The 17,115-nt window shown below is 46.3% G+C and overlaps 1 long non-coding RNA gene across 1 annotated transcript in view, besides 2 other annotated features; it reads right to left on the bottom strand.

The window, feature by feature from the left end:
* Positions 941-1,574: an enhancer, noted in NCBI's record as "H3K27ac-H3K4me1 hESC enhancer chr9:88771625-88772258 (GRCh37/hg19 assembly coordinates)". NCBI's record gives its function as "activates a minimal SCP1, AML or CMV promoter by ChIP-STARR-seq in primed H9 embryonic stem cells {active_cell/tissue: H9 hESC(primed)}" and the evidence as "EXISTENCE:reporter gene assay evidence [ECO:0000049][PMID:30033119]".
* LOC101927623 (uncharacterized) overlaps positions 1,198-17,115 on the bottom strand; it is a 29,547-nt gene continuing 13,629 nt past the window's right edge. The window contains exons 3-5 of the long non-coding RNA NR_110996.1: positions 15,218-15,271; positions 11,626-11,780; positions 1,198-1,803 (exon numbers count right to left, since the gene is read on the bottom strand). This is a non-coding gene — a long non-coding RNA (uncharacterized LOC101927623). The remainder of the gene's footprint in view (positions 1,804-11,625; positions 11,781-15,217; positions 15,272-17,115) is intronic.
* Positions 10,997-12,196: an enhancer, noted in NCBI's record as "P300/CBP strongly-dependent group 1 enhancer chr9:88761003-88762202 (GRCh37/hg19 assembly coordinates)". NCBI's record gives its function as "activates an origin of replication core promoter dependent on BRD2, BRD4, P300/CBP, MED14 and CDK7 cofactors, with strong dependence on P300/CBP, by STARR-seq in HCT116 cells {active_cell/tissue: HCT116}" and the evidence as "EXISTENCE:reporter gene assay evidence [ECO:0000049][PMID:35650434]".

Here is a 17,115-nt window from a genome sequence, read left to right as displayed (position 1 = left end):
GCCTTGCTTTTCAGCTCCATCAGCTCCTTTAAGCACTTGTCTGTATTGGTTATTCTAGTTATACATTCTTCTAAATTTTTTTCAAAGTTTTCAACTTCTTTGCCTTTGGTTTGAATGTCCTCCCATAGCTCAGAGTAGTTTGATTGTCTGAAGCCTTCTTCTCTCAGCTCGTCAAAGTCATTCTCCATCCAGGTTTGTTCCATTGCTGGTGAGGAACTGTGTTCCTTTGGAGGAGGAGAGGCGCTCTGCTCTTTAGAGTTTCCAGTTTTTCTGTTCTGTTTTTTCCCCATCTTTGTGGTTTTATCTACTTTTGGTCTTTGATGATGGTGATGTACAGATGGGTTTTTGGTGTGGATGTCCTTTCTGTTTGTTAGTTTTCCTTCTAACAAACAGGACCCTCAGCTGCAGGTCTGTTGGAATACCCTGCCGTGTGAGGTGTCAGTGTGCCCCTGTTGGGGGGTGCCTCCCAGTTAGGCTGCTCAGGGGTCAGGGGTCAGGGACCCACTTGAGGAGGCAGTCTGCCCATTCTCAGATCTCCAGCTGCGTGCTGGGAGAACCACTGCTCTCTTCAAAGCTGTCAGACAGGGACATTTAAGTCTGCAGAGGTTACTGCTGTCTTTTTGTTTGTCTGTGCCCTGCCCCCAGAGGTGGAGCCTACAGAGGCAGGCAGGCCTCCTTGAGCTGTGGTGGGCTCCGCCCAGTTGGAGCTTCCCGGCTGCTTTGTTTACCTAAGCAAGCCTGGGCAATGGCGGGCGCCCCTCCCCCAGCCTCGCTGCTGCCTTGCAGTTTGATCTCAGACTGCTGTGCTAGCAATCAGCGAGACTCCGTGGGCGTAGGACCCTCCAAGCCAGGTGCGGGATATAATCTCGTGGTGCGCCATTTTTTAAGCCCGTCAGAAAAGCGCAGTATTCAGGTGGGAGTGACCCAATTTTCCAGGTGCCGTCCATCACCCCTTTCTTTGACTCAGAAAGGGAACTCCCTGACCCCTTGCGCTTCCCAAGTGAGGCAATGCCTCGCCCTGCTTCGGCTCACGCACAGTGCGTGCACCCACTGACCTGCGCCCACTGTCTGGCACTCCCTAGTGAGATGAACCCGGTACCTCAGATGGAAATGCAGAAATCACCGTCTTCTGCATCGCTCATGCTGGTAGCTGTAGACCGGAGCTGTTCCTATTCGGCCATCTTGGCTTCTCCCCTTTTTTTTTTTTTTTTTTGACAAAGTTTCACTCTTGTTGCCCAGGCTGAAGTGCAATGGTGTGATCTCGGCTCACTGCAACCTCCGTCTCCTGGGTTCAAGTGATTCTCCCAAGTAGCTGGGATTACAGGCATGCACCACCATGCCCTGCTAATTTTGTATTTTTAGTAGAGATGGGGTCTCTACATCTTGGTGAGGCTAGTCTCGAACTCCCAACCTCAGGTGATCTGCCCTTCAAGAACCCACCAGAAGGAACCAATTCCGGACACACTTTGGCACCCAATGTGGGGCCAATCGACTATCACCAAGCAGTGAGCACCATCGGACCCCTTTCACTTGCTATTCTGTCCTATTTTTCCTTAGAATTTGGTGGGTAAATACCGGGCATCTGTTGGCCAGTTAAAAGTGACCAGCATGGCTGCTGGACTAAAGACACGAGTGTCAGGCTTTCTGGGAAAGGGCTCTCTAACAACCCCTTACTCTTCGGAGTTGGGAGCGTTGGTTTTCTTGGAACCAGCTTCTGCTTTTCCTGTACTTCTGGGCTGAGCAGAGGGTTGACAGAGAAGAAAGCCATTCAGCTCCGGGGTCCCGACAACAAGTTGGTTGACCCTGCAGCCATGAACAGAACTCTCAAAGTCGTATCACCTAACCGAGGCTCACCCATCTATCCTGTCTACCCTGACCCTTGCCTCCTGGGTCCTAATGCCTGTCAGACAAACTTCCTCTTGCCTCTCTTCTCCAAGGCTAGTCCTGCTTCTAAAAACCACTCCCTGTCTCTGGTGCTTTTCTAGTTTCTCCTGTAAGAATGATTTCTAGTATAAACTTCAGGACTCTGTTACCTTCTTTAGGCACTCGGGCTCACCAATCAGAAAGATATAATTTTTGCCCAAAGCCCCATCATAGGGGGAACTATCTGGAATTTTAGGATCCCTCCTCAGACAAGCAGGCCTAACAAAAGCTATTCCTGAAGCTAGGATATGGGGAGCCTCAGAAATTGCATCCTTCCTATTCATATAAGTGAGGACAAAAGGCATCACTCTTCTAACTCTGGAGATCCCTCCCATCCCTCAGGTTATGGCCCTCCACTTCATTTTTGGGGCATAGCATCTTTATAGGACATGAGTAAAGTCCCAATACTAACGGGAGAATGCTTAGGACTCTAACAGGTTTTTGAAAATGCATCGGTAAGGGCTACTAAATCCAATTTTTCTTGGTCCTCTTTGTGGTCTAGGAGGACAAGCAAGGGTGCAGGTTTTTGAGAATGTGTTGGTAAGGGCCACTAAATCCAACCTTCCTTGGTCCTCCTTGTGGTCTAGGAGGAAAACTAGTGTTTCTGCTGCTGCATTGGTGAGCACAACTATTCGAATCAGCAGGGTCCAGGGACTGTTGTGGGTCCTTGCGCAAGAGGTGTTTCTGCTGCTGCGTTGGTGAGCGCAAGTATTCCAATCAGCAGGGTCCAGGGACCATTGCAGGTTCTTGGGCAGGGGGAGAAACAAACCAAAACCACAGGTGGTTTGTCCTTCACATGGGAAACACTCAGGCATCAACAGGCTCACCCTTGAAATGCATCCTAAGCCATTGGGACCAATTTGACCCACAAACCCTGAAAAAGAGTCAGTTCATTTTTTTCTGCTTTATGGCTTGGCCCCAATATTCTCTCTCTGATGGGGAAAAATGGCCACCTGAGGGAAGTATAAATTACAATACTATACTGCAGCTTGACCTTTTCTGTAACAGGGAAGGCAAATGGAGTGACATACCTTATGTCCAAGCTTTCTTTTCATTGGAGGAGGATACACAACTCTGCCAAACTTGCAATTTACATCCCACAGGGGGACCTTTCAGCTTACTCCCATATCCTAGCCTCCCTATAACTCCCCTTCCTATTATTGATAAGCCTCCTCTAATCTCCCCCACCCAGAAGGAAATAAGCAAAGAAATCTCCAAAGGACCACAAAAACCCCAGGGCTATCGGTTATGTCCCCTTCAAGCTGTAGGGGGAGAGGAATTTGGCCCAACCCGGGTACATGTCCCCTTCTCCCTCTCTGATTTAAAGCAGATCAAGGCAGACCTGGGGAAGTTTTCAGATGATCCTGATAGGTACACAGATGTCCTACAGGGTCTAGGGCAAACCTTCGATCTCACTCGGAAAGATGTCATGCTATTGTTAGATCAAACCCTGGTCTTTAATGAAAAGAATGCGGCTTTAGCTGCAGGCTGAGAGTTTGGATACCTGATATCTTAGTCAAGCAAATGATAGAATGACAGCTGAAGAAAGGGACAAGTTATCTGCCGGTCAGCAAGCCATCCCCAGTATGGATCCCCACTGGGACCCCGACTCAGATCATGGGGCCTGGAGTCATAAACATCTGTTGACCTGTGTTCTAGAAGGACTAAGGAGAATTAGGAAAAAGCCCATGAGTTATTCAGTGATGTCTACCATAACTCAGGGAAAGGAAGAAAATCCTTCTGTCTTCCTCAAGTGGTTACGGGAGGCCTTAAGAAAATATACTCCCCTGTCACCCAACTCACTCGAGGGTCAGTTGATTCTAAAAGATAAGTTTATTACCCAATCAGCCACAGATATCAGGAGACAGTTCCAAAGGCGAGCCCTGGGCCCTGAACAAAATCTGGAGGCATTATTAAACCTGGCAACCTCGGTGTTCTATAATAGGGACCAAGAGGAACAGGCCGAAAAGGAAAAGTGAGATCAGAGAAAGGCTGCAGCCTTAGTAATGGCCCTCAGATAAACAAACCTTGGTGGTTCAGAGAGGATAGAAAAGAGCAGGCCAATCACCCAGTAGGACTTATTATCAGTGTGGCTTACAAGGACACTTTAAAAAAGATTGTCCAACAAGAAATAAGCTGCCCCCTCGTCCATGTCTGCTATGCTGAGGCAATCACTGGAAGGTGCACTGCCCCAGAGGGCAAAGGTTCTCTGGGCCAGAAGCCCCCAACCAGATGATCCAACAATAGGACTGAGGGTGCCTGGGGCAAGTGCCAGCTCATGTCATCACCCTCACTGAGCACCGAGTATGTTTAACCATTGAGGGCCAGGAAATTGACTTCCTCCTGGACACTGGTGCAGCCTTCTCAGTGTTAATCTCCTGTCCCAGACGACGGTCCTCAAGGTCCACTACCATCCGAGGAATCCTGGGACAGCCTGTAACCAGGTATTTCTCCCACCTCCTCAGTTGTAACTGGGAGACTTTACTCTTTTCACATGCCTTTCTTGTTATGCCTGAAAGTCCCACATCCTTATTAGGGAGGGATATATTAGCCAAAGCTGGAGCTATTATCTACATGAATATGGGGAACAAATCACCCATTCATTGTCCCCTACTTGAGGAGGGAATCAACCCTGAAGTCTTGGCATTGGAAGGACAATTTGGAAGGGCAAAAAATGCCCACCCAGTCCAAATCAGGCTAAAAGATCCCACCACTTTTCCTTATCAAAGGCAATATCCCTTAAGGCCTGAAGCTCATAAAGGATTACAGGATATTAAACATATAAAAGCTCAAGGCTTAGTAAGGAAATGCAGCAGTCCCTGCAACACCCCAATTCTAGGAGTACAAAAACAGAACAGCCAGTGGAGACTAGTGCAAGATCTTAGACTCACCAATGAGGCAGTAATTCCTCTATATCCAGTTGTACCCATCCCCTATACACTGCTCTCTCAAATACCAGAGGAAGCAGAATGGTTCACTGTTCTGGACCTCAAGGATGCTTTCTTCCATATTCCCCTGCACTCTGACTCCCAGTTTCTCTTTGCCTTTGAGGATCCCACAGACCACACATCCCAACTTACGTGGATGGTCTTGCCCAAGGGTTTAGGGATAGCCCTCACCTGTTTGGTCAGGCACTGGCCCAAGATCTAGGCCACTTCTCAAATCCAGGCATTCTGGTCCTTCAGTATGTGGATGATTTGCTTTTGGCTACCAGTTCAGAAGTGTCATGCCAGCAGGCTACTCTAGATCTCTTGGACTTTCTAGCTAATCAAGGGTAAAAGGCATCTAGGTCGAAGGCTCAGCTTTGCCTACAACGGGTCAAATATCTAGGCCTAATCTTAGCTAGAGGGACCAGAGCCCACAGCAAGGAATGAATACAGCCTATACTGGCTTATCCTCACCCTAAGACATTAAAACATTTGTGGGGGTTCCTTGGAATCACTGGCTTTTGCCAACTATGGGATCCCCGGATACAGCAAGATAGCCAGGCCCCTCTATAATCAAGGAGACCCAGAGGGCAAATACTCATCTAGTAGAATGGGAGCCAGGGGCAGTAACAGCCTTCAAAACCTTAAAGCAGGCCCTAGTACAAGCTCCAGCTTTAAGCCTTCCCACAGGACAAAACTTCTGTTTATACATCACAGAGAGAGCAGGGATAGCTCTTGGAGTCCTTACTCAGACTCGTGGGACAACCCCACAACCAGTGGCATACCTAAGTAAGGAAATTGATGTAGTAGTGAAAGTCTGGCCTCACTGTTTAAGGGTAGTTGCAGCAGTGGCCATCTTAGTGTCAGAGGGTATCAAAATAATACAAGGAAAGGATCTCACTGTCTGGACTACTCATGATGTAAATGGCATACTAGGTGCCAAAGGAAGTTTATGGCTATCAGATAACCACCTACTTAGATACCAGGCGCTACTCCTTGAGGGACTGGTGCTTCAAATGCTTATGTGCATGGCCCTCAATCCTGCCACTTTTATCCCAGAAGATGGGGAACCAGTTGAGCATGACTGCCAACAAATTATAGTCCAGAGTTATGCCACCCAAGATGATCTCTTAGAAGTCCCCTTAGCTAATTCTGACCTTAACCTATATACCAATGGAAGTTAATATGCGGAGAATGGGATACGAAGGGCAGGTTACACCATAGTTAGTGATGTAACCATACTTGAAAGTAAGCCTCTTCCCCCAGGGACCAGCGCCCACTTAGCAGAACTAGCAGCACTTACCCAAGCCTTAGAACTAGGAAAAGGAAAAAGAATAAATGTGTATACAGATAGCAAGTATGCTTATCTGATCCTACATGCCCATGGTGCAATATGGAAAGAAAGGGAGTTCCTAACCTCTGGGGGAGCCCCCATTAAATACCACAAGGAAATTATGGAGTTATTGCATGCAGTGCATAAACCCAAGGAGGTGGCAGTCTTACACTGCCGAAGTCATCAGAAAGGTGAAGGAGAAAAGGCAGAAGGAAACTGTTGGGCAGATGCTGAGGCCAAAATTGCTGCCAGGCAGAACCTCCCATTAGAAATAGCTATGGAAGGACCTTTGATAGGAACAACCCCCTCCAAGTATTCCCCAACTGAAACAGAATGGGGACTTTCACGGGGGTATAGTTTTCTCCCCTCCGGGTGGTTAACAACAGAAGAAGGAAAGGTACTTATGCCTGAAGCCAACCAGTGGAAAATACTTAAAACCCTCCACCAAACTTTTCATATGGGTATTGAAAACACTCTTCAAATGGCCAAATCCCTATTTACAGGGCCAAATCTCCTCTGGACCATCCGACAGGTAGTCAAAGCCTGTGAGGTGTGCCAAAGGAATAATCCCTTGGTCCATCATAAGGCTCCTTTGGGGGAACAAAGAATAGATCACTATCCTGGAGAGGACTGGCAGTTAGACTTCACCCATCTGCCTAAGTCAAAGGGATTTCAATACTTGGTGGTCTGTATTGATACCTTTACAAATTGGATAGAAGCTTTCCCCTGCAAGACAGAGAAGGCTCAGGAAGCGATTAAAGTCCTAATTCATGAAATAATTCCTAGATCTGGGCTTCCCCAAAGCTTACAGAGTGACAATGGTCCGGCTTTTAAAGCCACGAAAACTCAGGGAATTTCCAGGGTGTTAGGGATACAATATCACCTTCACTGCACCCTGAGGCCACAATCCTCAGGGAAGGTCGAGCAGGCAAATGAAACACTCAAGAGGCACTTAAGGAAATGAACACAAGAAACTCATCTCCCATGGCCTACTCTTTTGCCCATGGCCTTCTTGAGAATCCAAAATTCTCCTCACAAAATGGGATTCAGTCCATATGAAATGCTGTATGGATGACATTTGCTCACAAATGACCTCATACTTGATCAGGAAACAGCCAACTTGGTCAAAGATATAACTTCTTTGGCAAAATATCAACAAAACCTTAAAAAACTACCTGAAGGATGTCACAGAGAAAAGGGAACAGAGTTGTTTCAATCAGGAGATCTAGTGTTAGTCAAATCTCTCCCCTCTACCTCCCCACCTACGGACTCTTTGTGGAAAGGATCATACTCGGTAATCCTCTCTACCCCCACTGCAGTTAAGGTGGCAGGAGTGGAATCTTGGATTCATCACACCCGAGTTAAGTTCTGGACATCCCCTGAGGAACCTGCAGGACCATCAGCTCAGGAGTCCCAAGATCAGCCAGACAAGCCTCCATACACCTTTGAACCATTGGAGGATTGCATCTCCTATTTTGGAAGGAAATAACCCAGACTTAAAAGGCTCCTACCATTGATCCTGAAGAAAAACCCCTTCCTCCTTAAAAAGATAAATGAAGACCTACATAATCTTTATCTTTAACACCTCTCCTTACCCCTTTAATGGAATCCTTTTATTATTTCATCATATTATTAAGCAGCATACTAACCATACTCTTTGCAATAGGGCTATATACTGTAGCTCCTGCTGGGATGAAAATCTTAATCACATCAACCTTCTCTCTATCTTCCTTCCTTCTGACAGCAATTTACTCCTAGCTTTAACTCAGCCTGGATAAAATGATCTCGTCTTCCAGAGCACCCTCTTGACCTTCCTATTTATGCTTTGCCTATCTTTCCCTTCTGCTTCCTTGGATACCTCATGCAATCACCCCTCCCCTTCCACTAGCTCCTAATTACCTCTACAAGACTCTCAACTTAACCCACTCTCTGTTAAACCAGTCCAATCCTTCCCTGGAAAATGACTGCTGGCTTTGTATCTTTCTATCAACCTCCGCTTACATTGCCATTCCCATTCCCGCAAAAAACTGGGTCTTTACCAACTTAATCTACCACCCTCATTATGAAGGAAAAGACCATTTCTGACTTCTAAATATGCAATCATTAGCTGACTTCCCCATCTCTGATAGGACCAAGAATACCCTAACAGGATGTGCAATCCAACTTTTGCTTTCTTACATTTCCAACCTCACTTATTACACAAGCAATGAAAAGCCCATACACGGCCCTGTAACTATGAATACTATCTTAACTTTCCAAGCCCTTTTATGCATCCAATGCAACCTGTTATCAGGCCTGCCCCTGGGGCACCTACTACCCCATCAGTGTAATTACACCCCACAACTTCAAGCCCCAACTGATCATAGTAACTTCCAAGTCACCCAAACAGCTCCATTCAGATGGCTTGTCCGCTTCTCAGGGCTCCCAAAAATCATCACCTCCCCCCTGCTTAACAAACAGTCCAGGTTTTATAGTGGCAAACATACTCCCTGCATGACCATTCACCCCTGGACCCCCTGCAGCAGCGCCCCCACCACTAGTGAATGCCTTCTCATCCTCTCTTTCAATTACTCTCTCAAATGGTTCCTAGCAGATACAAAATGGTTTTTTCTCCAATGGGGAAATAGAACACCGGGAGCAACTCAGTTTGCTCCCAACACCCCTTTCCAGCCACTCACCAGCACTACCTTGGCAAGTACTCTAGGAGTATGGAAAAATGAAAACAACAAACTCACACAACTTTTTAACATACACAACAAGTTCTGTCTACCCAGCCAAGGTATATTCTTCTTATTGGGAACGTCGACCTATATCTGCCTCCCCTCTAACTGGACAGGCACCTGCACCTTAGTCTTCCTAAGTCCCAACATTAACATTGCCCCAGGAAATCGGACCCTATCAGTACCCCTCAAAGCTCAAGTCCGTCAGTGCAGAGCCATACAATTAATACCCCTACTTATAGGGTTAGGAATGGCTACTGCTACAGGAACTGGAATAGCCAGTTTATCTACTTCATTATCCTACTACCACACACTCTCAAAGGATTTCTCAGATAGTTTTCAAGAAATAACGAAATCTATCCTTACTCTACAATCCCAAATAGACTCTTTGGCAGCAGTGACTCCAAAACTGCCGAGGCCTAGACCTCCTCACTGCTGAGAAAGGAGGACTCTGCACCTTCTTAGGGGAAGAGTGTTGTTTTTACACTAACCAGTCAGGGATAGTACGAGATGCCACCTGGCGTTTACAAGAAAAGGCTTCTGAAATCAGACAATGCCTTTCAAACTCTTATACCAACCTCTGGAGTTGGGCAACATGGCTTCTCCCCTTTCTAGGTCCCATGGCAGCCATCTTGCTATTACTTGCCTTCAGGCCCTGTATTTTTAACCTCCTTGTCAAATTTGTTTCCTCTAGAATTGAGGCCATCAAGCTGCAGATGGTCTTACAAATGGAACCTCAAATGAGCTCAACTAACAACTTCTACCAAGGACCCCTGGACTGACCCACTGGCCCTTTCACTGGCCTAAAGAGTTCCCCTCTGGAGGACACTACAACTGCAGGGCCACTTCTTCACCCCTATCCAGCAGGAAGTAGCTAGAGCAGTCATTGCCCAATTCCCAACAGCAGTTGGGGTGTCCTGTTTAGAGGGGGGATTGAGAGGTGAAGCCGGCTGGGCTTCTGGGTCAGGTGGGGACTTGGAGAACTTTTCTGTCTAGCTAAAGGATTGTAAATGCACCAATCAGTGCTCTGTGTCTAGCTAAAGGTTTGTAAACACACCAATCAGCACTCTGTGTCTAGCTAATCAGGTGGGGACATGGAGAACTTTTCTGTCTAGCTAAAGGATTGTAAATGCACCAATCAGCGCTCTGTGTCTAGCTAAAGGTTTGTAAACACACCAATCAGCACTCTGTAAAAATGCACCAATCAGCACTCTGTGTCTAGCTAATCTAGTGGGGACCTGGAGAACTTTTCTGTCTAGCTAAATGATTGTAAATGCACCAATCAGCGTTCTGTGTCTAGCTAAAGGTTTGTAAACACACCAATCAGCACTCTGTAAAAAAGCACTAATCACCACTCTGTGTCTAGCTAAAGGTTTGTAAATGCACCAATCAGCACTCTGTAAAAATGGACCAATCAGCACTCTTTAAAATGGACCAAACAGTGCCCTGTAAAATGGACCAATCAGCAGGATGTGGGTGGGGCCAAATAAGGGAATAAAAGCTGGCCACTCAAGCCAGCAGCGGCAACCCACTCGAGTCCCCTTCCATGCTGTGGAAGCTTTGTTCTTTCGCTCTTCGCAATAAATCTTGCTGCTGCTCACTCTTTGGGTCTGCATTACCTTTATGAGCTGTAACATTCACTGCAAAGGTCTGCAGCTTCCTTCCTGAATCCAGTAAGACCTCAAACCCACCAAGAGGAACAAACAACTCTGGACACGCCACCTTTAAGAGCTGTAACACTCACTGCAAAGGTCTGCGGCTTCACTCCTGAAGTCAGCAAGACCACGAACCTACTGGAAGGAAGAAACCGTGGACACATCTGAACATCTGAAGGAAAAAACTCCAGATACACCATCTTTAAGAACTGTAACACTCACCACGAGGGTCCACGGCTTCATTCTTGAAGTCAGCAAGACCAAGAACTCACCGGAAGGAACCAATTCCAGACACAAGGTCAGACGGGTCCACAGAAAAGAAGGATTCAAAGGACTCAGAGCTTGGAGTGGAGACTGAAGCAACAGACAGGAGAGAAAGAAGAAAGATTTGGGGCAATTCGCATTGGGAGCAGAGACTAGGGAGGGACTATGTGCAAAAGAATGCCTGGACATCAGGAACCTCAGACCATTTGCCCATTTTTCGACAAAAATTATCCAGGTCTCGTAAGATGGAGAAATCAAAAGTGCCATTTTCTGGCCATTTGGAACCATTGTTGAGTTTGTATTGGGGCCAAGCAGTATTGCAGAAGAAAATAAAGCATTTAGGTTTTAAGTCAGGTGTGAGTTGAAGAGGTTGTAAGTTCTTGAGAACACAGGCTAAAGGAGAAGAAGGGGGAATGGAGGGTGGAAGGTTGCCCATAGTGAAGGAGGTAAGTTTAAAGAGAAAGGTAGAGACCTGGAGAAGGGGGTGGTGAGCAGCCAAAGCAGGCATCCCCACAGTTGACTTGCCACCAAGGGAATGTGGGTGAATGACCAAGGCAGGCATCCCCACGGTGATCAGACACCAATGGAATGTGGGTGAATAATCAGGCAGGCATCTCCACAGTGATTAAACACCAAGGGAAGACTGTCTTCCTGAGTCTGTGACCGGTGCCGGAGTTTTGGGTCCATGGATAAAATGTGTCTCCTTTGTCTCTACTAGAGAGGAAAAAGAACTGGAATTGGAAGGATAGGGAGATTGAACGGTAGTGAGAGAGGCTGAAGAAGAGAGTGAAAAGACCACTTACCCAATTTGAAATTGGTGAGATATTCCTTGGGCTGGTTGGTCTGAGGACCCGAGGTTGTAGGTGGATCTCCTCATGGAGTGAGGGTGAGGACAGGGGACCAGTCTCCCAAAGGAGTCCCCCTGTCCTGGGTCTTTGGCACCAAATGTTACGCACGTCTGTGTGAAGAGACCACCAAACAGGCTTTGTGTGAACAATAAAGCTTTTTAATCACCTAGGTGCAGGTGGGCTGAGTCCGAAAAAGGAGTCAGCAAAAGGAGATGGGGTGGGGCAGTTTTATAGGATTTGGATGGGTAGTGGAAAATTACAGTCAAAGGAGGTTTTTCTCTTGCAGGCAGGGGCAGTGGTTACAAGGTGCTCAGTGAGAAGCTTCTGATACTCATTGCCCAGGAGAAGGAATTTCACAAGGTCAATTGATCAGTTAGGGTGGGGCAGGAACAAATCACAATGGTGGAATGTTATCACTTAAGGCAGGAACTGGCTATTTTCACTTCTTTTGTGGTTCTTCAGTTGCTTCAGGCCATCTGGATGTATACATGCAGGCTTGGGCTCAGAGGCCTGACAGTTTCACCATCTTGGCCAGGCTGGTCTTGAACTCCTGACCTCATGATCCACCCACCTTGGACTCCCAAAGTGCTAGGACTACAGAAGTGAGTCACCATGCCCGGCCCCTTCTGTTCTTCAGCAGCTCCCACAGTCCCAGCTCTGGTCTCCTGGTCAATCCCTTAGTGTCTGTTCCATTTCTAGATTCCATTCCTCCTGTTACTGAACTGAACCTGTGTCTGCTCATCCAGCACAGCAAAGCCAAACACTGATACTGAGGTTTGCAGTGAAAGAAAGAAATGAGTTTATTGCAGAGCACCAAGCAAGGAGAACAGGCAGGTAATGCTTGAGATCCGACCTCCCCTATGGCTTACAAGCAAGGGTTTATAAAGGCAGTGAAAATGCCTTTGCAAAACTACAACTGAGACAGTGAAAGAGATCCAACTTAACCAAATCCATCTTGCTTCTAATCTCCAAGCTGTCCTTGTTCATTCCTGGGCATAGGCTTGTTATGGGAAAGAGGTCTCAATCCAGACCCCAGGAGAGGGTTCTTGGATCTCATGCCAGAAAGAATTCAGGGCAAGTCCAAGGTGCAAAGTGTAAGCAAGTTTATTAAGAAAGTAAAGGAAGAAAAGAGGCTGGGTGCAGTGGCACATGCCTGTAATCCCAGCACTTTGGGAGGCTGAGGCGGGCAAATCACCTGAGGTCGGGAGTTCAAGACCAGCCTGACCAACATGGAGAAACCCCATCTCTACTAAAAATACAAAATTAGCCGGGCATGGTGGCGCATGCCAGTAATTCCAGCTACTCAGGAGGCTGAGACAGGAGAATCGCTTGAACCTGGGCGGCAGAGCTTGCAGTGAGCCGAGGTCGAGCCATTGCACTCCAGCCTGGGCAACAAGAGTGAAACTCCATAAAAAAAAAAAAAAAAAGTAAAGGAATAAAAGAATGACTACTCCATAGACAGTGCAGCCCCAAGGGCTGCTGGTTGCCCATTTTTATGGTCATTTCTTAATAATATACTAAATAAGGGGTGGATTATTCATACCTCCACTTTTTAAACCATAAATTCCTGACCGTAAATTCCTGATGTTGCCATGGCATTTGTAAACTGTCATGGCGCTGGTGAGAGTGTAGCAGTGAGGATGACTAGAGATCACTCTCGTCGCCATTATGGTTTTGGTGGGTTTTGGCCAGCTCCTTTACGGCAAACTGTTTTATCGGCAAGGTCTTTATGACTTGTATTTTGTGCTGACCTCCTATTTCATCCTGTGACTTAGAATGCCTTAACTGTCTGGGAATGCAGCCTAGTAGGTTTCAGCCTCATTTTACCCAGCTCTTGTTTAAGATGGAGTTGCTCTGGTTCACAGGCCGCTGACAGGCTGAACTAACTTAGGGAGAAACTTAGTTTGTAGTTTATAGTTTAAACAAAGACGGTAACAGCCCTTTCCCAAAGCAGACCTCCTTCTTGCCTGGGGACTAAACTAACATTAGCCATAAGATTAGAAATTATGGTTTAGGAGTCATGCAGCTGGAGGCTACAAGACTCCGACCTTCCTTAAACTGCTCCTAAGATCAGAGCTTGAGATATTTTGCAGACCTTGCACTTGATGGATCAGCTGGCTCCACCCAGATCAATAAACTGGCTCATCTGATCTTGTGGCCCCCCCCCAACCCAAGAACTGACTCAGCACAAGAAGGCAGCTTTGACATCCCTGACCAGTCAGCTCTTCTGGCTCACTGGTCTCCCCCTGACCCACCAAGTAAACCTTAAAAACTCTGCTCCCCCAGCTGGATGCCGTGGCTCATGCCTGTAATCCCAGCACTTTGGGAGGCTGAGGCAGGCGAATCACCAGAGGTCAGGAGTTTGAGACCAGAAAGAAACCCCTTCCCAACTAAAAAATATAAAAAATTAGCCAGGCGTGGTGGCGTATACCTGTAATCTCAGCTACTTGGGAGGCTGAGGCAGGAGAATCACTTGAACCTGGGAGGTGGAGGTTGCCGTGAGCCGAGATGGCACCATTGTACTCCAGCCTGGGCAACAAGAGCGAAACTCTGTCTCGATTAAAAAAACAAAACAAAACAAAAAAACTCTGCTCCCCGAATGATGCTTGGGGAAACTGATTTGAGTAATAATAAAACTCTAGTCTCCTGCACAGCCTGCTCTACGTGAATTATTGTTTGTCTATTGCAATTTCCCTGTCTTGATGAATTGGCTCTGTCTAGGCAGCGGGCAAGGTGAACCCCTCGGGCGGTTACAGCAGGGGTACATTTCATGAAAGTGGGAGTTACAGGGGCTAAAAGAAAAATCTCAGCTGAATTAAACTTAAAGGAGTTTAATTGATCAGTGAACAATTTGTGAAGCCGGCAGCCACCCATCCCCCAGAATCACAGCAGATTCAGAGAGACTCCAACGCAGACACATGGTGGAAGATTTATGGACAGCAAAAGGAAAGTGAGGTACAGAAAACGAAAGTGAGGTACAGAAACAACTGGATTGGTTACAGCTCAGCATTTGCCTTATTTGAACATGGTTTGAATAGTTGGCTACATCTGATTGACCAAAACTCAGTGATTGGCACAGGTGTGGGCTATGGTTGGTTTATACCTCCACTTGTATAGTTCACAATGTACAGAAAAATTTTAGGCTGAGCTTAAATATGTAAGGAGGCAGCTTTAGGCTAAACTTGATTTAACACAGGCAAAATCGTAAATCAATAAATGCAGGATATCTTGAAGCAGGGGCTTACAGGTCATAGGAGGATTCAGAAATTCTTTGATTTGCAGTTGGTTAAGGGAGCAAGGCTTTGTCTAAAATCTTTAGGCCAGCAGGAAAGGAGTGTAAAGGTTTGGCTTTAACATGTTTGTTAGGATAAGGAATCATTGTGCGTTGCTATGCCATAGTCAGTTTATGAGAGCAAGCCATAGCATACTGTGTCAGAGTGACCAGTTAACAAGATTGATGGTCTGCAGGCATGACTGTCTCCAGGCTCCATCATAAAATTTTAAACAAAGAACAATAGTCAGAGTTCAGCCCTCAGTTTCCCCTTACCTGAAGTCTACGTGACAGCAGTTGGCATTTTCCATCTGGTGGGGGTCCTTGCTTCTGAAAAACAACTTAAGATGTTATCTTTTGGCTGGGTGTGGTGGCTCACATCTGTAATTCCAGCACTTTGGGAGGCTGAGGTGGGTGGATGACCTGAGGTCAGGAGTTCAAGACCAGTCTGGCCAACGTCGTGAAACCTTGTCTTTACTAAAAATAGAAAAATTAGCTGGGCATGGTGGTGCATGCCTGTAGTTCTAGCTACTCGGGAGGCTGAGGCAGGAGAATCACTCGAACACAGGAGGCAGGAGAATTGCTCAAACACAGGAGGCAGAGGTTGCAGTGAGCTGAGATTGTGGCACTGCACCCCAGCCTGGGCAACAGAGAGAGACTCCATCTCAAAAAAAAAGATTTAATCTTTTAGTTTCTACAGAGAGCCAAACACTTTGTGACTCTGACTTACTGGGTGGTTATTGTTTAAGCTATTATTGTCTTCTTGCTTCAAATGCTGTTCATTTACTTCTCTGATTGCTGGTTGCAGGGTTAGCTAGGTGACTAGAATTTCCTTGGAAGAACTCAAAATTTTTCTTCATTTCCATGCTTGTGGGACCCAGCAAGCCCCTAAGAGAGGTCCCGGCTCCATCTCACTACCACCCCAGGGCCTTAGCTTTTGTAGCCACAGCCCCTGAAATGCCAGGAGCGTATCTGGTGTTGGCCTGGCCTGCTGCACTCTGGCCCCCAAACTTCAGGCCTTGTATGCAAGAAATACATGCTCATGAAGGGGGCCAGAGTATGCCACCTTAAAACATGCCAGTTTGACATATGGATTGTTTTGAGTCGAAGGTTATTGGGAATCAACAGATAGAGAAAGAAAGCCTTGTTGTAGCTTCCCTTATCTGACTAAAAGCAGAAACTTCCGAGAAATTAGGTTGCCATAAATCCCTTCTCTCCCCAGGGGCGTTTTATGTCCATGAAAAAGATGGAAAGTTGACATTGAGATGAATCTGCACAAAGAAGCCTTCCTAAAATAACCCTGTCTTCCATTAGTTTCACCACATATTTACCTTTTGACAATTTATTGCCCCTAGGGGCCCAACCCCCACCCTTTCTTTGCTAGTCACTTCTCCACAATTTATTGCCCTTGTTAAAATGGTACATAAGCCTCTGAGCTTAACCACCTCTTTGAGGTTTTACTTCTTTTTGTGTAGCCCCCATGCACATAAAATTAAAACATCACCTAAACGTGTATGTCTTTTTCTCCTATTAATGTCTTTTGTTAGTTTAATTTACACTGAGAATAAGACGGTAGAGAAAAAGTTTTTTCTTCCCAGGTACTTGCATATAATGATGAAAACTTGGCCAGGCACAGTGGCTCATACCTGTAATCCCAGCACTTTGGGAGGTCGAGACTGGTAGATCACCTGAGGTCAGGAGTTCAAGATCAGCCTGGCCAACATGGTGAAACCCTATCTCTACTAAAAATACAAAAATTAGCTGGGCATGGTGGCATGCACCTGTAATCCCAGTTACTCGGAAGGCCGAGGCAGGAGAATTGCTTGTGACCAGGAGGCAGAGGCTGCAGTGGACTGAGAGCTTGCCACTGCACTCCAGCCTGCATAGCAGAGCAAGACTCCATCTCAAAAAAAAAAAGAAAGAAAACTCTTTATCATTACCCAGTTGTAGTATTTTGATTATATAACATATGACAGATTCTAAAATGTGGCACTGATGGTACAGCTAGAATATGAACCCATAACTACACATTATAACTAAATGACATAGCTCCCCTAAGGGAATATTTACAGCCATATAAATTAACTGTGTTAAAATTTCAGTTTCCTGGTGGAACAAGAAGTTGAAACTGCCCTTGGTCTGGCATTTCCTATGATTTGGGGTACTGTTCCCTG

Source organism: Homo sapiens, chromosome 9, assembly GCF_000001405.40.
Source record: "Homo sapiens chromosome 9, GRCh38.p14 Primary Assembly".
Lineage (NCBI taxonomy): Eukaryota > Metazoa > Chordata > Mammalia > Primates > Hominidae > Homo > Homo sapiens.
This window is presented reverse-complemented; position numbering and strand designations above follow the sequence as displayed.